General features: G+C 41.7%; 1 protein-coding gene and 1 pseudogene across 2 annotated transcripts in view; both read right to left on the bottom strand.

Annotated features, from left to right (window-relative positions):
* The window catches only part of WWOX (WW domain containing oxidoreductase), a 1,113,014-nt gene that overhangs the window by 849,680 nt on the left and 239,820 nt on the right, over nucleotides 1–23,514 (bottom strand). The gene's annotated exons all lie outside the window — the stretch shown is intronic.
* LSM3P5 (LSM3 homolog, U6 small nuclear RNA and mRNA degradation associated pseudogene 5) lies at nucleotides 6,928–7,494 on the bottom strand (annotated as a pseudogene).

Below are 23,514 nucleotides of genomic sequence, written 5' to 3'. Positions count from 1 at the left end.
ATTGCCTAATGCTGGGGAAGGAATCAGAGGCCTTCCTCTGGACACTGTCCCATGCAACCATCTGAGCAGGATAACATTCTGACACCACCACCTCCTTTACGCATTTAGCAACTTCGGAAACTCACTTCCCTCATCTTTGCAAGCAAAATACTAGTATCTCCTTCATAAGATTGTGAGATGATTAAAGAAGATAATGCTTGTGGTATATTTATCTACTGGACACATAGTAAGTTCTTCATGAACTGTGTCTACTATTTTTAGGTTGAGGCTGTTTCCTGGAAACCCTCCAAGCCCCGTCCAGTCCTAAAAGAAATAAATGCCTCTCCTACAAGCACCAGGATTTTTTTTCCTTTCTTTTCTTTTTTTGCAGGGTGGGGGGTAGATAGAGTCTTGCTCCATTGCCCAGGCTGGAGTGCAGTGGTGCCATCTCAGCTCACTGCTACCTCCACCTCCCGAGTTCAGGCAATTCTGCTGCCTCAGCCTCCCGAGTACCTGGAACAACAGATGCCTGCCACCACGCCTGTTAATTTTTGTATTTTTAATAGGGATAGGGTTTCACCATGTTGGTGAGGCTGGTCTTGAACTCCTATCATCAGGTGATCCACCCGCATTGGCCTTCCAAAGTGCTGGGATTACAGGCTTAAGCCTGTAATGCCTGTCCTGTTTTTTTCTTTATCCTGCTTCACATACCCATCATCACCTTGCTGTGTCTCGTCTCTTGTTCTTCCTACAAGCAAGACGGACAAGGCACACATCTGATACTAACATGCTCCCACGAGTTCAGTACAATTCCCTAGATTAGCACGTCCCTAACAGCAGACCTTCAACTGTTCAAAATCAAGTTCTCACCAGCCTATGGCCACCGGACATAAAAAGTGGGGAGTGAGGAAGAATGTAGTGAGAAGAAAAAAATCACCCCATTAAAATAGCGTCCTTCATAGAAGCCAACCAGAAAAAGCTGGAATGGTTTCAGCAACAGAATAAATGGAGGTATTAATAAATCAAAAAAAAAAAAAGGAAATACCTGTGAATCTACGCTAATATAAAGTAATTGAATCAGAAATAAACGGGGGAGGGGCCAGGCGCTGTAGCTCACACCTGTAATCCCAGCACTTTGGGAGTCCGAGGTGGGAGGATCACCAGAGAAGAGGAGTTTGAGACCAGCCTGGTCAAAGTGGTGAAACCCCATCTCTACTAAAAATATAAAAATTAGCTGGGCATGGTGGCATGGACCTGTAATCCCAGCTCCTTGGGAGGCTGAGACGGGAGAATCGCCTGAACACAGGAGGCAGAGGTTGCAGGGAGCCGATATCGCACCATTACACTCCAGCCTGGGCGACAGGAGTGAAACTTTGTCTCAACAAAAAGAAAAGAAAAGAAAGAAATGGGGGAGAAGGGATAGCTCTTTCTTCAGAAGAATTCCAATTACTGACTATAAAAAGAGTAAGGGAAATACATAGTCACCACTAGCCAAGCATCATGGTAAACACTGCTGCAGGCAAGATCCAACAATAGAAAGTCAGCATGTGAAAGTTTAAGGAAAACGGGGCTGCCAGCATCATCTCAAAACATCTCCCTTCAAATAATTATGAATTTCAAAGGAAAAATTAATAACATTACATTGGAAAAACTCAGCAGACATCACCTTAACCAAGTGATCAAGGTTAACATTACCAGGGATGAGACAGATCAACATTATGTTCTACCTGAGATAATATACTAAGAAAGACACCACATCATTTTTATAATGTTCTTGCCAAAAAATGCTTACACTCAGCTAATGATGAGAAAATACTGGACAAATCAAGGTCTCAAGATCAGAAAGAAGGAAATAAGTAAGCAACTATCAAAGACTGAATGCTCCAAGCCAGGTGCAGTGGCTCATGCCTGTAATCCCAGCACTTTGGGAAGCCGAGGTAAGCAGATTTCTTGAGCCCAGGAGCTCAAAACCAGCCTGTGCAACATGATGAAACCCTGCCTTGATAAAACAAATGCAAAAATTAGCCAGGCATGGTGGTGCATGCGTATAGTCCCAGATACTCAGGAGACTGAGGTGGGAGGATCGCTTGAGCCTAGGAGGTGGAGGCTGCAGTAACCCATGATCGTACCACTGTGCTCCAGCCTGGGTGACAGAGTGAGACCGTGTCTCAAAAAAAAAAAGCACTAAAGGCACCAAGGAGATACAACAATTAAATATAATGTGGCATCCTGGACTAGATCCTGGAATAAAAAGATGACACTGCTTTAGTGGTGAAATTTGAGTAACAAGTATAGTTAATATTTAGCACCATTGTCTATTTTCTAGTTTTGATTATTATACCATGATTAGGTAAACTGCTAAAATTACAAGAAAGTAGAGGTACTGTGAAATATTGCTATTTCTGCAACTTTTTTTTTTTTTTGAGACAGAGTCTCACTCTGTCGCCCAGACTGGAGTGCAGTGGCACTCCGCTTGGCTCACTGCAGCCTCCAGCTCCCAGCTTCAAGTGATTCTCATGTCTCAGCCTCCCAAGTATCTGGGATTACAGGTGTGCGCTGCCATGCCAGGCTAATTTTTGTATTTTTAGTAGAGACAGGATTTCACTATTTGACCAGGCTGGTCTTGAACTCCTGGCCTCAAGGGATCAGCCCGCTTCGGCCTCCCAAAGTGCTGGGATTACAGGCATGAGCCACTGTGCCCAGCCTACTTCTCCAACTTCTATGTGAGTCTAAAATTAGTTCAAAATAAAAATTGACAGAACACCAGTGAAATGGCTGTCCCTTAGAGCAGGTGGATGTCCTCACAATATCTGGTGTCAAAACGCCCTTGCTTTTAGAAAGTAATATTGATTGTTGATGGGGGAATAGTGTTAGTTTTTGTTGATTTTTGTCGTTGTTTTTAATGTGTTTTTCTTTTGGGGGAAAATCTTTTTGACAAGCTTAAATTGGTATCCTCCTTTTTGTTTTGTTTTTAAAAAGTTTGTTTCCTGAAATCCAAAATTCTGAGAACTGCTAAGCTCATTTAAAATTATTTTCTAATGATTGAATAGTGAAGGCAAATTTGCAAGATGAGTGTTGTTCCCTCCACAGAAAACTAACAATCTTCCAAGTCACAAAATTCATTCCTCATGTTTTTGCTGTGTCAAAACAAAATTAAGTCCATAGTCACCTCTCCCAGGAAGTCTTCCCTGTTCATCCCAGATGGGAATGGCATCATGCCTTGTGTGTTTCTCACACCGAATTATGAGCTTCTCAACATCAGGGCTTCTCATGCACATCACGTTGTCTCGTAAAAGGTTGTGTTTTTGTGGCAGTTGATTTCCACAATGAAAATTTATTTTTTTAAATGTTACGGTATCTCTGTAGCTTTTGAAATATTTAGTATGTTAAATGTATTTTTTAAATCTTGCTTTAACTCATAAGCTATAAGATGCTGAAAAACTCATATTCTAACTCATTTTAAGTCTTTTTATCTTTCAGCTCTAAGATAGATTAAAAAAGAAAAGGTGTTTCAACGATTTCTTAAGTACCAACTATCGATCCTTTATATGTTTTCTAAATGTGCTCCTTACAGCAATTTGGGGGCTCTCATGATTAGTGTGTTAATAAGAATTAAGCACAGCAGAAAAAAACTTAATTTGTATATGCTACATTACTAATTAGCCTGAGAGCTTTAGAGGTTTTTATGTAAAATGCTAAAACTTTTTGTTCAAAACTTATTTAAAACTGAAAAGAATATTGGAACAAATTGCCAAGCAAACCCAGGCCTTCTTTGTGTTATCAGAGGAGATACCAGCTCACCTAGCAAGTAATACAACTCACTATAAAATGACAAATACATGATATGGTGAAGGTATAGGAAGGTACAGACACTCAGACACTGCTACAGAAAGAGTATATATGGGAAGAAGCTTTCTCAAGCATTATCTATTTGCATTTAAACTTCTTATTTAGCCCAGGTAAACCAGCAACGTTGCTCATGACTGAAAAAATGGAAAACAGAATCTGTGCCCAGCAATAAGGGATTAATTTACTAAGTTATGAAGCTATAATGTCAAGTCAGTACAACTGTACTGCCAAACAGTATGTATTGACATAGAAACATGGCCACTATATGTCTGGTTAAAAAAAAAAAAAAAAAAGACCACAGTGTGATTTCAACTTTATGAAATATATTTGAATTTTAAAAAGTCAGAAAGAGCTACACAAAATTCACAGTAATTGTTCCTGACACAAGGAACAATTTTTCCCTCATTTGTATATATTCAACTCATTTGTATATTTTCCCTCATTTGTATATAATTCATGTACATACACACACACACACACACACACATATTATTTATTTTTTGACACGGAGTCTTGCTCTGTTGCTCAGGCTGGAGTGCAGTAGAACTATCTCGGCTCACTGCAAACTCCACTTCCCAGGTTCAAGCGATTCTCAGTCCTCAGCTTCCTGAGTAGCTGGGATTACAGGCATGTGCCACCACACCCAGCTAATTTTTGTATTTTTAGTAGAGACAGGGTTTCACCATGTTGGCCAGGCTGGTCTCAAACTCCTGACCTCAAGTGATCTGCCCACCTCAGCCTCCCAAAGTGCCGGGATTACAGGTGTAAGCCACTGCACTTGGCTATAATTATTATATTTACAACATTGACTTTATTACTGTGCAATCAAGGAAAGTAATTCATTAGCAGAGTTCTAATTTAATCAAATAGATACGTTTTGTATGTGAGTGTATAACATACATGAATGAATTTACTGATGACAGCACTTTTTCTTCTTTTTTTTGTAAATACAAGAGGTTATCTTTCGATAGGAGAATTGTTGATTAATGTGTGTTGAGAAGATACTTGACAATTAGATTTCTCTGTGTTATTAAACATTTTACCTAGTGCATGATGCTTTTACAAAAACAAAGAACTAGTTCCAAGTGTATGCAGAAAGATGAAAAAGTTCTCGTGCATATGGTTCATTATGTGTGTTCTACCCAGCCCTAATGCACAGCTCCACATCTCCGGCAACAGGTCCCCAGTTGTATCAGTGACAAAGAGGAATAACTGGCCTTCTCCTACTCAATGCGTCCACCGCTTAGGCAAGAAAACAGGCACAGAAGTCAGCCTAACTGAGTTTGAATCCCAGCTCTGCTACTGGTTAGCTATTTGGATGCTGGGTGATTAATTCACCAAACTCCCAGGGATCGGGTGAAATGGGAATAATTACACATACCCAGCAAGAGTGCAGCAAGCTATAAATTAGGTAATAAATATGTAGCACCCAGCACTGTGCCTGGCATGTGGAAGTGATCAATAATCACAGCTAGTATTGATAATAACCATCCTAACAATGATAATCCTATCTCCAACACCACAAAGCTGTGTTGAACATTAATGATATGGAAATGTTTAGCATAGAATAGCCCACAAATGTGTCCCAGACCACGTTTTCTCTGATTATGCCCAATTCTATCCCTCAAAAATCAAGGTTATGATAACATCACAAAGACAGTGTTGCAGGAAGGTTACAGATTGAAGGGACCAAGTGGTTGATTCAATCAATCATTCATTGATTGAATGAACCAAAATACAAACACCACTGGAAAGAGAAGTGGCTATGCAGGGAGAAGCAAGATGGCACAGTGCAGGTTCCTTTGCATTCTGGAGTGTGTTTGTGTGGTGCTGAGAAAGGTAAGTACCTATGCTATTCCCAAAGTCAGGTCTCAACAGAACCTAGCATGTTCTTTGTGCTAGTGGCTCCCATGTTGGCATGACACCACCATCCAGAGAACCCAGCTAGCAACTCATATGACTCCCTTCATAAGGAGTACTCTCAAACATCAGGAACTTTACTGCAGTGACTCAAAGATTCAAACTAGGGGCCACGAAGGCTCTGAGAAAGGAAGGTCTATGCCTGGTGTCTCCTGGCCAGCACCCCTGCCTGGGCCTTCTAGAAATCCATCCCTGTATCTTGATAAATGGATGTCAGCAAATGCCAGTAGTACTGAGGCAAAGGTATACATGGCCATAAAAAGGTAGGCATCATTTAGGAATTGGCCATTTAATCCTTGATTGGGTGAAGATCTCATATAACATATTGTGTATTGGAACTTTTTTTTGTTTGTTTTTTGAGATGGAGTCTCACTCTGTCTGCCAGGCTGGAGTGCAATGGTGCCATCTCAGCTCACTTCAACCTCCACCTCCCAGGTTCAAGAAATTCTCCTGCCTCAGCCTCCCGAGTCGCTGGGATTACAGGCTCATGCCACTATGCCCGGCTAATTTTTTCTATTTTTAGTAGAGACGGGGTTTCACCATGCTGGCCAGGCTGGTCTTCAACTGCTGACCTCGTGATCCACTCGCCTTGGCCTCCCAAAGTGCTTGGATTACAGGCGTGAGCCACCGTGCCCAGCCGGAACTTTTGTTTCCATGTGATAGTCTTTCAAAGTGCACCTCTCTGTCCCACTGCCCTGCACCTACCTCTCCACATTCAGAGCACTGGAGATGAGGTCTAGGGTAGGCGACTTACAACAAACTAGAGATGTGTCATATCTCCTTCCTTCCTGCCTGGGGACTGAGATTTTCCCACGGGTCCACAAATCCACAGGAAAGTTAAGCATTTTAGAAGAAGGCTTTGAATCTTTACTACTTAAATAGGTTGTGCTCTTATTTTAAACAAGTTGAGTATTTTGAATATGTGAGACATAAATCAAGGTACACACACACTAGAAAAAGAAATGTGATATATATGTATATGATACATATATTTTATATATGTGTATATGATTCACACAAATATACATATATGCATTTTTATTTATTTATTTTGAGACAGAGTCTCGCTCTGTCGCCCAAGCTGGAGTGCAGTGGCATGACCTTGGCTCACTGCAACCTCCACCTCCCGGGTTCAATCGATTCTTCTTTTTTTTTTTTTTTTTTTTTTAGGAAAAAAAAATCTTGGTGGTCATATTTATTGGAAGAGCTTGAGAAAAACGAAAATACCATTTAGCTTAAGAAGTTGTGAATTATCTGCAAATCAACTCATTTCAGGAGTGGAAGAATCCCCAGAATTATTTCTTAATATCCAAATGTATGCGGGTTTCTCTTTTGAATATCTTGCACATTTAGAGAGGCCACTGTACAAAGTCTCCTGTTTTCCGTACAGGACAAATTCTTTGTTTCAGCCAACTCTCAGTGGAGGGGCAACCAGGAAAATGCCATCTCCCCGGAGAAAGAACACTGGAATATTCTGTTTTGTTGATTCATATGTCTCTTCATATGTTTCCTCATCAATTTCTATAGTAGTCACAGTTTCTTCCACGTCTCCCAAGATCATATTTAAATGTTGATCATAAGTATGTAATCTGCCTCGAAGCTCTCGGTCGTTTCTCATTTTCACACAAATTCGCTCCTCTGGGCTGAGCCTAAGATCCAGGGGATCCTCCACAGTGTTGGTAGTTTGCTGCTGGTCTACGTTGTCTGCCATGTTTCATCAAGTAATTCTTCGGTCTCAGCCTCCCGAGTAGCTGGGACTACAGGTGCCCGCCACCACGCCAGGCTAATTTTTTGTACTTTTAGTAGAGACACGGTTTCACCGTGTTAGCCAGGATGGTCTCGATCTCCTGACCTCGTGATTCGCCCGCCTCAGCCTCCCAAAGTGCTGGGATTACAGGCGTGAGCCACTGCGCCCAGCACCATACACGCATTTTTATCTATACACATACATATACGTATATGTATACATACTTTTTTTTTATATACAGACACACACACACACAGGAGCAATGACTTCAGAGAAAAAAAGGGGTTTCCTAATAGTTACTATAGAGTGACTGGCAGACAGGAACCTCATTATACTATCCTCTCTACTTTTCTTTTCTTTTGAGACAGAGTCTCCCTCTGTGACCCAGGCTGGAGTGCAGTGGCTCCATCTCAGCTCACTGCAACCTCCACCTCCCAGGTTCAAGCAGTTCGCCTGCCTCAGCCTCCCAAGTAGCTGTGACTACAGACATGCACCACCACTCCCGGCTAATTTTTGCATTTTTAGGATAGACAGAGCTTCACCATGTTGCCCAGTAGTCTTGAATTCCTGACCTCAGGTGGTCTCCTCACCTTGGCCTCCAAAAGTGTTGGGATTATAGGCATGCACCACCACCCCTGGCTGTCATCTCTGTTTTTGATGATATATGAAAATTTAATCAAAAATATCAAGAAGTGTTAAAGACAGGCCATCTAGAAAAACCCAAAAACATGAAAAATAGAAAACAAAATTTAACAGAATGAGAGAACATAATGACAAACAAAACAGTTTACCTAGTTTAAGAATATTCTTACATTGAACCAAAAAACAAAATCCAACTATTTATCAGGCAAAATATAATAAGGAATTCAGAAAGCTTAAGAATAAAATGTGATAAAAAGCCTTTAAAAGTGGCTTGCTGGATATTTCTAAGCATATGAAAAATAAGGGTCTCTTCTAAACTAGAAATGTTTTCCAGTTGTAATTGCCAGTTTATACAAGTTTTCAATACATCATCAAAAACCAGCATCAAAATTAAACTGCAGTAATGAGCGGATTAACGGGCTTCATTGGCATTAATTAAATAAAGTGCCTGAGTCCCTCTGGAAAGTCATTTGACAATATGTGCAAAGTCTATGGGTTTCAGTCACATACCTACACACCTGACCAAAAAAAAAAAAAAGTTAAGCACATCAGCAGACACTGTCTTCTCCCTATGCCAAGCAAAAAGAGATTAATCCCTTTATTTCTGGCAGGGGTGGGGGGGTGCTGGGGTGGGCACCAGCAAACGTTTCCAAACAGATGTTTACAAACAGAAGGTAACTGATAAAAACCAAAACACAAAGCTGCATTGTCTTTCCTGATTCACAGATGAACCCACTGGAACTACTGCAAACAGCCTTTCTGGAAAACATCCAGGAATTAAAAGGTGCAAACAAGCTGCCTAATACCCTTGCGTAGACTGAATTCTTATGAAGAAAATAAAGTTTATTGTCTGGAAAGAGAGAAAGCATGAGGAAAGCACGAAAGCGATGGAGGTGAACAATTAGACAGATGTTCACTTAAGGAAATAAAGAGAACAGAAGAAGCCATCACCCAGGAATTTTACGAGAATCCTGACAACTCGGCACCACATCAAGGGCAAGGGTAAAGCGAACGCCACCCAAGCCCAGGCTGTGCAACTTGACGCTAACTGCTGACCTTGCAGATCCTGCCTGCAGGTGATGTGGCTCTGAGCAAAGGCAGGTGAGCCTGCTCACTTCAATAAGTTCTTAAGTTCTTCTCCAAGGTGAGCCACAGACTGCAGTTCTTCAGGACAGAGTTACATCTCTAATCTTCATAATATTACTGCAGGTAATGGCAAAGATAATACTAATTATCCCCAAGTCTTTGCATATTGGTAAATTCCTTGGTGAATACCAAGAATATAGCTAAGGATTATTTCAGAAAGTCTTTGGCTTGCTAATCCTGTCCCAACTGGCTAGAGGAGAAGGGACAGAAAGGTGCTACGTATTGAACATCTTACAGTGGCACTGCTGCTGGATGATTTCTATTAATCGATAGATTTGGTGAACTGTCTTTCTCTTGGCTTACACCCCTGGAAGGCTCACAGGTAACTCTTCAGCCCAGCTGTGGCATCTGTTCATAGCTTCTGGCCAATATTTCTGCACAGTGCTTTACCTCTCGATTTACTTGATTTTCCCTTAATCCTAATAGCCTCATCTGTGTCTTTTTCTCTTGAGGTATTATACACGGGCCCCTACATAAACAATCTCAAATCCTCTTTGCAAAGCAGCAATGAAGAGTTGCTAAGATAGGTGTTATGATGAAAAGGCAGAAAAAGGAATGCATAGTTAGCTGGCTGGCTGGACCACAAATAGAAAGATCAAAGGAAAACAGACAGTATTTTATTTATTCCTCATACAAAAATCTGAGTTACAAACTGCCATTATTTTACAAAAGAAGAAAGACGAATAAATTACCCATTCCAGTTAATTTCTAAGACTGCTTTTCAAGTAAGTGAGAGAAATATTTTTAAAAAATCATTAAAGAATAAAATAAACTATAAGCTAGTGCTATGATTGATCTTTTCTCTATACTCCTATCCAGTTTCTTTGTACAGCCAATATTCAATCAACCGCCAATCCAGAAGGATCTATCTAACTCTGCTATACACTCCAAGGACATAAAATAAATTTAAGACTCATGCATTCTTTAAGAAGCATATACATTATAGGTACTGCTGTATGTGGAATGCCCTCTACCCCAATATGTTCATGAACTAATCCCTGATATCTATAAATATGTTACATAGCAAATGGTAATTAAGGTTGTAGATGGCATTAAGATTGCTAATTGGCTGACCTTCAAACAGGCAGATTATCCCAGATTATCAGGGTAGACTCCCTGAAGTTACAAGGTTCCTTAAAAGCAGAAGCAGAAGAGAGAGAACCAGGAACAGGGCAGTTTGAGAAGGACTTGAGCAGCCATCCCTGGCTTTGAAGATAGAGGAAGGGGCCATGAGCCAAAGGATTTGGGCAGTCCCTGGAAGCTGGAAACAGCAAGGAAGTGGGTTCTCTTCTAGAACCTACAGAAAGAAATGGTGTCCTGCTGACACATCGATTTTAGCCCACTGAGACCTATTTTGGACCACTGACCTCCAAAACTGTAAAGTGTAACTTTTGTGTGGTTCTAAGTCACTAACATTGAGAAAATTTATTACAGCAGAGATAGGAAACAAAATACAGTTATGTAACATGTTTAATTTGTGAGATTTCACATTGCACATCCAAACTTCTGGCTCCTGTGAAAAATGAAGACAGAGAAGCCAAGGTCTGGCCTGCATATGCTCACATTTTCACAATCGCATAGGCCGAGGTGCAGCTGTTCCTTGAGATGGGGCACTGACCCTCTTGTGCGCCACCATCTCCACCACTCTCTACTGTCTCGCTGACTCCAAAGCTCTGGATCATCAACTGCTCCCACCAAACATTTGAGTGTTTGACTCTTGATCTAGGTTTGAAGAAAAACAAACATACTGCTGGGCGTGGTGGCTCATGCCTATAATCCCAGCACTTTGGGAGGCTGAGGGGCGCATATCACCTAAGGTCACGAGTTTGAGACCAGCCTGGCCAACATGGTGAAACTACGTCTCGAGTAAAAATATAAAAATTAGCTGGGCCTGGTGATACACGTCTGTAATCCCAGAGACTCGGGAGGCTGGGAGAGGAGAATCGCTTGAACCTGGGAGGCAGGGTTTGCAGTGAGCCAACATCGTGCCACTGCATTCCAGCCTGGGCAAGAGACCGAGACTCTGTCTCAAAAACTAACAAAAAACACATGCATAGCCACGCAGGGCTGATATTCAGGAGCTATGTGCAATATAGAGCCAGCATCTGCTCCGCTTAGTCAGGATCCATGCCATCCGTGAATGTTAAATATTTAGAGTAGAAACAGAGGCAGCCTGCTTCCTGAACATTCCTGCCTGCACAGGGGCAGACCACCCCTCTGCCCCACCTAAAGCGTATATGATATCCCCCCTCACCCCATCCCTGGGGGCCAGGCAAGGTTTCATGGCCATAGTTCTGGCTAAACCAATGCAGTCGGGCATCCCAGTTTTCTACCTGACACAACTGCTGGACAATCAGTACTTTTTTCTGCGGAATTATTATTCTGAAACTCTTGTAGCACAAAAAAGTAAAGGGATTTAAAGGAAAAGTGATATGGACTATAATTTAGCCTCTCTATATTGTAATCGGGGAGCAGTGTTTGTTGGGGATGTGAATCTTTCCTCTGAACCAGAAGGATCTCTGTAAGCTCTTGGTATGTGCCTAAAAGCACACACTGCACTGTAAGAAAATGAGGTGGGCATGATTACAGGTGTGACCTGATAACCGCTGAAAAAAATCATCCATCCAATAATCATATGAAGAGATGTTCAATATCCTAAGCCATCAAGAAAATCCAAATCAAAATCACAATGCAATACCGCTTCATACCCAATAAAATGACAAGACTAAAAAGAAAAATGACAGCGAGTGCTGGTGAAGATATGGAGAAATCGGAACCTTCCTACACTGCTGGTTAGAATGTAGATGGGTGTGGCTGCTGTGGAGAACAATCTGGTGGCTCCTCAAAAGGTTAAACAAGGAGTTCCACGTGATCCAGAAATTGCACTCTTAGGAGCATACCCCAAAAAAGGTAAACCTATATCCACACAAAAATGTGTAGACAAGTGTACCTGGAAGCATTATGCACAATAGCCAAAATGTGGAAACAACCTACATGTCCGTGAACTGAATGCATAGATGAAATGTGGCATATCCGTAAATGGAATATTACTCAGCCCTAAAAAAAGAAGTACTGATACATGCTACAACATGAATGACCCTTGAAAACATGATGCTAAGTGTAAGGATCGAGACACAAAGGGCCACACAGTATCTGATTTATTTATATGAAAAGTCTAGAATAGGCAAATCTATATAGAGACAGAAAGTAGATGAGTGGTTACCTGGAGCTGGGAGAGAGGTTGGGAGTGGAGAGAAAAGGAAGTGGGGAAAAGGATGCCAGTCAAGGGTTTCTTTTTGGGAAAATGAAAATATTCTAAACTTGACTGTGGTGACAGCTGCAAAACTCTCTGAATATACTGAAAGCACTGAATTGTACATTTTGAATGGGCAAAGTTTATGTATCTGTGTTATATATCAATAAAGTAGCTTGAGAAAATTTACAAACTTCAGCTCGCTAAGAATTTCTAGTAATAAATCACTTGAAACATACCTCACAACTGATGGAGACATATCAGGCAACTATTGGGACTCTGATGAGATTGTGGATTGAGAAAAGTATGGTAAACCCATATGACAGAATATTGCCTAGCTGTTGGAGATCACGGTAAGAAACTTAAGTGACATGGTCAAATGTTTGCCATTTATCATTAAGTTCAATAAAAAGCAGGCTACTAGAGAATAATACACAGTACGATGTTATTTGGCTTAAGAGTGTACAAATGCAGGCATATGTATGGTATGGGCATTAGGTAATTCATAGAAGAGAGAACACTTCCATAACACAAACCGAAATGTTAACAGGGATTATTTCTGGGGAATGAGACTGAGTCAAAAGCTGAGCCCAGAAATACAAAATCAATATAGCTCAAAGTTGAGTCATTGTTTTCCAATCACTGGGCTTGCTAAAATTATTTCTACACTGAATTTGTCACCGCAAGGCATTGCTGTTTCATCGGTGACACCTGCACTCCAAGCATAATTTCAATCACTGAAACAATTGCAAATTTCACCTGGCTGATGAAACGTCTGGGAAGGATGAAGGATTGTCGGAAGGGTGCACCATTAGGGCTCATACCAATCCATGGATAAACGGGAAAAGGTATGGCAAGGCTGTGAAGGTGGCCTGCAGCACCAGGCAAGACAGTCAGGGCCATGTAATCTCACATCAGCTGACTAGGACCTCCTCCTGGCTTCTTCTAAAGGGTGGGGCAAGGATTAAGTGAGATAAGGATGCAGATGGTCTCTGAAAAGCATGATATCCCCGTGCAAACATTAGGCAGTGGTATTCGTTATAGCCTCATCCCCAACTGTTGTTAGCTGGATTCTGTTTCCCCAAAATTCATATGCTGAAGACCTAACCCGTACTACCTCAGAATGTGACTGTATTTGGAGGTACGGCCTATAAAGAGGTGATTATGTAAAAAATGAGGCTATCAGGGCAGGTCCTATTGCAATCTGAGTGGTGTCCTTCAAAGAAGAGGACATCTGAACACAGGAAAAGAAACCAGGGATGCGTGCACACAGCGGCTAGGTCACGTGAGAACACGGTGGGAAGGCGGCTGTCTGCAAGCAGACGAGGTAGACCTCAGAAGACATCAACTGTGCCGGAACCTTGACCTTGGAATTCTAGGCTCCACAACTATGAGAAAATGTATTTTTGTTGTTCAAGTTATCCAGCCTGTGGTATTTTGTTATGGCAGCCTGAGCAGACCAGTACACCGGCCTCTATCTGCAATGTGGCCCTCGTTCAGACTTCCTCTTTTCCCCTCTGCTGGGCTATTTTCCACCCTGATTTCTGACCCTCTGTTGCCTCCATTAATGTATCACCACCACAAAAACTCACTAACAACAGATACAAGTCTTTCTTTCTCTTATATTTCTCTTGTATTTTGCTTATAGCTACCTGACCCTCCTTCCCAATTTCTGAATTTAAGCATCACATCAGGGCATGGCACTGTGGCTGACACCTGTAATCCTAGCACTTTGGGAGGCAGAGGCGGGTGGATCTCTTGAGCTCAGGAGTTAGAGACCAGCCTGGGCAACATGGGGAAAGCCCGTCTCTACAGAAAATGTAGTAATTAACTGGGTGTAGTGGCATGTGCCTCTAGTCCCAGCTACTGGTGGGGCTGAGGCAGGAGGATTGCCTGAGCTCAAGAGGCAAAAGCTACAGTGAGCCAAGATTCACTGCACTCAATCCAGCCTGAGCGACAGAGACCCTGTCTCAAAAAACTAAAATAAAATAAACACCGCATCAGTATATGTATCGAGCTCTTTGGCTCTATGATCTTTTTTCTCCTATTCCATATTATCAACAACCTATCCCCCTTCCCACCCTCAAGCTATCTGCTGGGATGGTTCTTTGCCACTCTTTCCTGGATATAAGTGACATTACAGAGGCAGCTTGACTTGTACGTAACCTTTCAAATTCCAGCTTCTCTACTTACAACCCTCTTTATTACAGTCACAGTACATGAAGTCTCTTCTGGGCTTCTGCCTTGTTAAGAAGAAACACAGCTATGGCCCAGAAGCAAAGGTATTTTCATGTTGACTCTAGACCTTAGGAGCCTCAGCTCTGTTCCCATTGCAGGGAGCAATAATAAAAGAACTATTTCCAAGTTTGAATTAAACTAGACTTGAGCTTTGTGGGTTAGGGGATGGAAGCAGAAAGGTATATTTTTAAAGAGAAAGTTTTATATTCCTTTAAAACTTGGGCATGATTTTAAAAGAATCTTACTCTTGGCCTTTCAGGCGAGCCTTCATACCGTTAAACAGAATAAGACCATAGTCCATATTGTTTTATGAGGAATCCACTTTTAAGATATGTACAACATTTAAGGAACATTAAGGAAAGTGGAAAATGAATTCCTTCCAGAAAAGCTTTAAGTAGAGATAAGAAAAAAGGCCAGAGGTTAGAAATATTTCTAAAATTATAATCAGAAATTGCCAGGGCAACTATTTAGCAGTCTCATGAATAGTGAGTGATATGAATTATTTTTCTTGACCTTTAATAAGATAGTAATGCAATTAATTTCTTAAAAAGATAAAAGTGAAGCATATTTTCAAGGAATATGGAGAACACAAGTTCATTTATTTATTAGACGAATATTTATCAAGTATCTCCTTGGGCTTCGGACTGGGAAGGTCAGGAAGATGCAACACGCCTAAGAAGCTCAGGAACATGCAAGAGGTGTGGGTGTCGAGGAGGGATAGCAATGATATGTGGGGGGACATTGTGGGGGTAACAGCGTGACTTTATGAGCTGTCAAGAGTGCTGTGCCAAAGACATATGAGGTGCGAATAACCTGGGACCAACACCATGGACAGATACTTGGAACTAGACATATGGATACAGGAGTCATATTGGAATGGATTTGATGACTGAAATCTTGGGAATGGGTATGATCTACAGGGGAAGGAGCATTGGCCAGAGGGAGAAAGGGTCAACAACAGAATTGTGGGGGACACTGACATTTAAAGGATGGAAAGAGAATGGAGGGGGCGGGGGAAGGAGATAATTAGAAAGAGAAGGAAGACAAAGTTTAAAAGAAGCTATGGCTTGATTGTGACGATGACTGCACACCTGTCAATACACTAAAAATGAAACTGTGTGGTATATGAATTATATCTCAATAAACCTATTACCCCAACCCCCACAAAAACGCAAGAAAGAGATATGACCACCGGGCGCTGTGGCTCACACCTGTAATCCCAGCACTTTGGGAGGCCGAGGCAGGCAGATCACCTGAGGTCAGGAGTTGAAACCAGCCTGGTCAACATGGTGAAACCCTGTCTCTGCTAAAAAAATAAAATAAAAATAAAACAACACAAAAATTAGCCAGGCATGGTAGCAGGCTTCTGTAACACCAGCTACTCAAGAGACTGAGGCAGGAAAATCGCTTGAACCCAGTAGGCAGAGGTTGCAGTAAACCAAGATCACACCACTGCTCTCCAGACTGGGCAACAGAGCGAGACTCCATCTCAAAAAAAGTAAATAATAAAATAACATAGATATGAGCAATAAGCATAGTTTTCATGTTCAAAATCATTACTCATCATACTCACATATTTCACAATTAAAAAAAAATATACAACAAAATACCACTATGTACCCAAACAGAAAATTTAGAAGACCAATAATATCAAGTATTATTAAGGATGTAGAGGAAGTGGATCCTTAAACACTGTTGGCAAGAATGTAAAATGGGATGACCACTTTAGGGAAGTATTTGCCAACCTCTTAAAAAGTTATACATAGCCCTATACGGACCACCCTGCCCATTCCACTCCAGAGTATTATCCCCCAAGATAAAACAGATATATGTCCACACAAAGACTAGTGCATCAATATTCACGGTGGCTTCGTTCACATTAGTATCCATTTACAACAGCTAAAAACTGGGAAGAACCCAAATGTCTATCAGCAGGTAATTAGGTATTTTTAAAACAATGTGATTTCTCCACACAATGGAGTACTACTCACCAATGACAATGAGTAAGCCACTGATACAGGCAGCAGTATGGGTACATCCCAAGGTAATTATGTGGAATGAAAGAAACCAGATGCAGAACAAGTACTAGAAAACTTCACTTATCTAAAATTCTAGAAAATGCAAATTCATCAATAGTGACAGAAAACAGACCAGGGTTTTCCTGGAGCTGAGGCTGTCTGGACTCAGAGTCATACACCACAGAAGTGGCATTTGAAATCTTTTTGAGGTGATGTAAATGTTCTATTTTTTTTATTTTCGTGTTGGTTTCATGGGCATGTGCATCTGTCAAAACTCATTGAATTGTATATTTAAATGGATGCAATTTATTTTACATAAATTAGACCGCAACAAAGTTGATCAAACCAATCCAAGCAAGTAAGCAAAAGGCATGTGTCAATGCCTCAAATTTTTCCTTTAAAAAATATCAAAGTGAGCATTCAAATGGCCCACTCTGCTTTCAGAGTTAAGAACAGCAGTATTAATGGCCATTTCACTGAGTGTGTACCCATATCACAAACTGTATAAGGGACTTCCCATGCTTTATTTTACTTTTTTTTTTTTTTTTTTTTTTTTGAGACAGGGTCTTGCTCTGCCACCCAGACTGAGGTGTAGAGACAGGATCACAGCTCACTGTAGCCTTGACTTCCCAGGTTCAAACTTCCCACCTCAGCCTCCCGAGTAGATGGGACTACAGGTGTGCCATTACACCCGACTAAAATTTTTTTTTTTTTTTTTTTTTTTTTTTTTTTTTTTTGGTAGCGATGGGGTTTTGCCATGGTGCTCAGGCTGGTCTCCAACACCTGGGCTCAAGTAATCTGCCCACCTTGGCCTCGCAAAGTGCTGGGATTAAAGGTATGAGCCAGCATGTCTAGCCTTATTTTACTTAATTCTATTACGTTGGTACAAAAGTAATTGTGACTTTTGCCATTAAATAAGATTGAAGTCTCCCTTTTATAGATGAGGAATACGATGTCCAGAGAGGTTAGCTTGCTGGAGATTGTGCAGATGTTCTGCAGTTCTGAGGCCTGCACTCTGTATACCCCCATGTACTGCTCCTCAGCCACCTGATCGACTTGACAGTCATACTAGTACCACCAATAGCCATAGTCAACTTTATGAGAAAACGACATCCAGGACAATCTCCTAGGTACTTTAGGTCCATGACGCACAATACTTTCCACAACCATCTTATCAAGTGGGGACTAGGCTAAACTCCCGTTTTCACCTGGAAAAATGGAAGCTTGCTCAGAGAGGTTAAGTGACTTTCCAGAGTTCCCGCAGCAAGGAAGTGATAGGATCAAGAATGGAACACAAGCAGTCTGACCCTGAAGCCCATGTTCACCAAACTAACTTCTTCAGACATCTTAGGAAGGCCTGACAGATTAACAAGAGCTTGATGCACTTTTCTCTATTTTAAATAAGGAACAAGTGAGAAAGTACAGCTTTATCAGGGCCAAATGGCAACTGACTTGGGAAGTTGGAATGGAGAATTCTTTTCAGTCAATTCCTTCCCTTCAAATGAAGTATGTGTGTAAAAACCAGCTAAGTGCCCAGCACATAGGTACTCATTGAAACTGGGGTTCCCTTCTGTACAGCCAGTATCTACCGAAGTAGGGGAATAATAGCCAAGCTCTGCTAATTCACACGATAGAGTCACAGGCAAAGATTCCCATTCATGGTAAAGGTGAATGGCATTTCCTGTGTTCATTTAAATAAACCCTGGTATAGACCCAGCCATCTAAGCAGAAACATAAGAGAACAGGTTCCTCGTGGTAATTCCATCTTCCTTGCTGGAAATCATTTGAAAATGGACATTGGGAGCTAGATTTATATGGCCTATTTATTTAAGCAAATACCTTTCAAATAAAAAAATACAAAATTGACAAATGCAGATTTTAGAGAAATTAAGCAATGGGTGCTATCACTTACCAGACCACAAAGAAATGCTTATCACCTGGAGTCCTCTGGGCCCAGCATATTTATTCATCATCCTGTCAAAACGCTGCCATTCACTCATAAATACCAGCCATTCTCCCCTGCACCTGCCCGAGGATGATGCTCAGTCTGGTGAAACACTAATTACGCACCTTCACCCTCTGCCCTTAGGATGATATACCTGACCGTGGTGACGAAGAATAATGGCATTCTGGAACATTTCTTGATGGTGAGGAGAAAGAAAAAAAAATGTGGGGTGATGTGGGAGGAAGGAGCCGGCATGAGGGGCAGAAAAAGAGCAAGGGAGGAAGGCAAAGGAAGAAAGAAGATGATGCAACCACATTTAGACTACATTGCTCCAACCAAGGGTCATCGTCATTGTCATCATTGTCACCATCATCATTTCTCAGCAGAAGGAAAACTTTTCAAGCCCAAAACGGGTGTCATATTAATATTAAAGCAGCTGAATGACAAAGAACTGAGAGCAAGTCACTCCTTTAGTCCTTGGTATGTCCACCAGTTTAGGAACCAAAGGTCATCTCCCAAATGAATGACCATTAAAGAGGTCCCTAGCCGGGTGCATATCCATACACAAATCTGCTATCTAGCACATGTGCTATTTACAGAAATATACTAAAATACTGTCCATGAAGCCACGTTTCCATATCCTGTCCCTTTAAAGAGTTACCGCCTCTCAGCACCTGCACTAGATTTGCCATAATGAAGACTCAAGGGGGGCTGTGCCCAGAAGCTTTAAGACCCAGCTCAGAGCATCACCTTACATGATGAGAGGCGAGGAATCTGAAAACAAGGGATATACATCTTCAGGTCCCACCAAAAATGGTGCCTGTTGACAGCTGGCCATCAGTGATTGATTGAGAATATGGAAATGGAAGCATGAGAAAAATGAGGACCTGTGCACTGACCGTTTAATGTGCCTAGAAGCAAGTAGGCGAGGAACGTGGCGGTGGGTTATGGATTAGTTTGCTCAATCAGCACAGCATCATGGGTGACAGGCAACTTTCAACAGCAGAGGGCACACACACAGAATAAGAAGACCCTCCACATCGGGGACACTGCTGAGAGCCCACAGAGGACACCCAGAAAGCAGAGTCATGGTGTCATTGTACAATCTTGCATCCTGCTGTTGTCTCATGAGGCTTATGTTGACAAGAAAACAAAAGAAAAACAAGCCAACATGGCAGTGGGAATGTTGCGTGGCCTACTGGATGGCCATGGTTCACGTCAAAGGAAATACAAATACAAGGTGTGCTGAGCAGTTTTTTTATGTGCCAAAATACCTTTATTGTCATCTGCAAGGGCCTATCCCAAGGTGAGCTTATATCTCCAAGAAGATGCTTCAGTTTCATGAAATGAACTCAGATCCTCTAGCACAAAAGGGATCATTCTGGGTCCCCTCACTAAGAAATATGTGGCTCTCCTGCTACTCCGACACCTCGGTGTTGATGGCAGAATGATAGTGGAATGGGACAATCTGGTGGCTTGTTTTTAGGTACCCTTTCAAACCTGCAATTTTTGGGAGTAATGGTGCTATCCCTGGGGTGCAAATGTCTATGCATATGGTGGAAAGCATGCCTGGGAATCAGATTCTGATGCCATAAGTTCTGTGACACATTTTTCTGGGCTTCCCTGTCTCACTTGGCTGGAAGTCATGCTTCTGGGCTAGAGACCTTTAGTGCTCTCCCAACACCCATGTGCTTCTCACATCTCAGCCTCCCTCATAATTACATAGGGGCCAGGGACTCACTCTCGCCAGTGGAATGTTGATGGAAGCAACAAATGCCACGTGCAAACCTGCCCATAAAAAATGCTGCTTCATCCTGTTACAGAGTCCTTGACTTTGGAGGCTATTTGTTTTAGAGTGTAGCTCCAAGACAGTGGAGTCCCCTTCAAGTCTGCCTTCACGAGTGGTTGTGTAGGGTGGACCTTCCAGCCAACTCACACTGGATATGTAATGAAAGGAACAAATCAGCGTTTGTTGTATGAAGATAATGAGACGTTGCAAGTTGTTTGTCGTAGCAGCTGACACTTATGTACCCTGACTAAAAGACCCCAGAAAGGTCCCCTCCAAATACAGTTTTCTGATAAAGCATTCAGCCTTCCTTTTTCAATAGTTTGTATTTCTTCTTGAACATTTTCTTGAGACATAGTCTCATTCTGCTGCCTAAATTAGAGTGCAGTGGCACAATTGCAGCTCACTGTAGCCTTGATCTCCCAGGCTCAAGCCATTCTGCTGCCTCAGCCTCCGAAGTACCTGGTACTATAGGTGAGCACCACCATGCCCAGCTAATTTTTTTTTTCCAAGTAGAGATGAGGTCTTGCTATGTTGCCAAGGCTAGTCTTCAACTCCTGTAAGACAAGCAATCCTCTCACCTCAGCCTCCCAATGTGCTAGAATTACAGGTGTGCACCACCATGCCCTGTTAACCTTCCATAAATATTCCTCTAGATTGTGGAGAGGCAAAACCCAATAGGGACTCATCTATTTGGCCTCAGACATGTCCACATCCCTCAGCAACACTGACCTGCCACCCATGGAGGTTTCCACACTCGATGCTATGTCTCACCTGTGTGCTCTTGCTCACCTTTCCCAGGAGGTTTCTCCTGCATGTTGCCCACCTATCCCATCTAGACTTATCTCAGCATCACTTCCTGTCCACTCCCTCAGTGACAATAGTGATTCAGAGCTCCAAGTACACAGACACCAAGAAACTTATGGTTTGCTGCTCAAATTTTCCCAAATTGTTCTCCCAGCAAAATAAAACATAATACTCACGTCTAAGACAAGCTTAAAAGAATGAGTAACATAAAAATAAAAGGAACAAAGATGGTGGATTATACATATTGATTTTTTAAAATTTTCATCCCAAATCACACTAAAACAGCAGTAACTGCTATAAAACAACATGACAATACAAATCAAAGATTATTCAATATAAAAATTTAAAGTTGAGGCCAGGCACAGCGATTCATGCCTATAATCCCAGCAGTTTGGGAGGCCAAGGTGAGAGGTAACTTGAGCCCAGGAATTACAGTGAGACCAGCCTGGGAAACAAAATGAGACTTCATTTCTCTTAAAAAAAAAAAAATTACAGTTGGATGCTGGAAAGCAGATGGACAACTAGGAAGTGACTTAAGAGAGCTGAGTCTTAAGCTAGCCATGGGGACAGCTGAGAAGTAACACAATTCCTATCAGAGAGCCAGCAAAGGCTCAGAAAATGTGGAACCTGGTACTTCTGAAAATGGGGTTGAAAGACAACCTTTTAGAAACCTGTGTGTCAGCTATGTACAGCTTGAGAATCCCTCCCCACTCAGCCCAGCAGGATACCATCATTTCATAACTCCAGAAAAATGACAGAAGTTTATTATCAGAAGAGAACATAAACAGGTGAGAACAGTGGCATGATACTGAAAACACAGACTTTGTAAATGTTTACCTACTGAATGCAGAGACTCAGAACTCTCCCCCTCACTTGGCTCTAGAACTCTAGCAGTCAGAGCTACACCTTCCCCAAGCAGAAGATAAGAAGATCCTTCTGTGGGATATTTGTTCTGCCAACAGGACACATGCAAACATTCAAACACAGTGGTTTTCCCAAAAAATAGTCCAGCCAGATCATCCTTCAGAGGAGTCCACAGTTAACTGGCCGTGGCCATGTGCTAAGAGTTGGCAGCAGTAACTTTGAATTCTACTTAGATAGAAACAGACATCCACAGATCAGAACATTTGGGGAAAGACTTTATCAAGAGGCTAGGTGTGGTGGTTCATGCCTGTAATCCTAGCACATTGGGAGGCTGAGATGGGCAGATCACCTGAGGTCAGGAGTTCATGACCAGCCTGGCCAACAGGGTAAACACTTCATCTCTACTAAAAATACAAAAAATAAAAATAAATTAGTTCGGCTTGGTGACACGCACATGTAGTCCCAGCGACTTGGGAGGCTAAGGCAGGACAGTCACTTGAACCTGGGAGGTGGAGGTTGCAGTTAGGCAGGATCACACCACTGCACTCCAGCCTAGGTGACACAGTAAGACTCCATCTCAAAAAAAAAAAAAGACTATCATCAAACACAATTACCAAAAGAAATGAAAACAATTTTGAGAAGATAGAAACTAAACAGAAAAGAAAAATTAAAACAATTATCATTAACATCAGAGAGTTAAAAGAGTAACATCATCCATGAAACAAGAATAGAATGTTATCAAACATAAAGGAAATAGAAACGTCCCCCCCCCCCCCACCAAATCCATGGAAAGACTAGAAGAACTATCCCTGAAAGTAACACAAAGACAAAGATAAATAGAGGATAAAAATACTTATGAGGCCATCTGGGAGGTCTAGGATCTGAATACCTAAAATTCTCTTGAAAGGGAACAGTCTCCTATTTGGATAGCAGCAAGGGGTTGATGATATGCCTCCCATTGTACTCCCAAGAGAGAAGCAGATAGAAATGAAAGAGAACAGCGGTCACAAGGGTTTGTACTTCCCGAGAACAACACAGAAAGCCACAAAATAGAATTTAAAACTCTGAAGCAAAATTGATTTTAAATCTGTAATTCTATCCCTAACAATGAATAAAATGAGGATGGAACAGAAACATTTTGAAACCTGAAATACACACACACAGACACACACACATATTCTATCATCCTTTTTCAGAAAGCTACTACAAGACATGCTCCCACAAAACAATAACCAAACCAATACAGGAAAAGATGTGGAAGAGAAGTTCCAACTCCGGGTACAGGTAAATGAACTTTCCAGGATACAATGTGAGGGCAGT

This window comes from Homo sapiens, chromosome 16 (genome assembly GCF_000001405.40).
Source record: "Homo sapiens chromosome 16, GRCh38.p14 Primary Assembly".
Taxonomy (NCBI): domain Eukaryota; kingdom Metazoa; phylum Chordata; class Mammalia; order Primates; family Hominidae; genus Homo; species Homo sapiens.
Note: the sequence above shows the minus strand (reverse complement) of the source record. Positions and strands in the feature narration are given on the sequence as shown.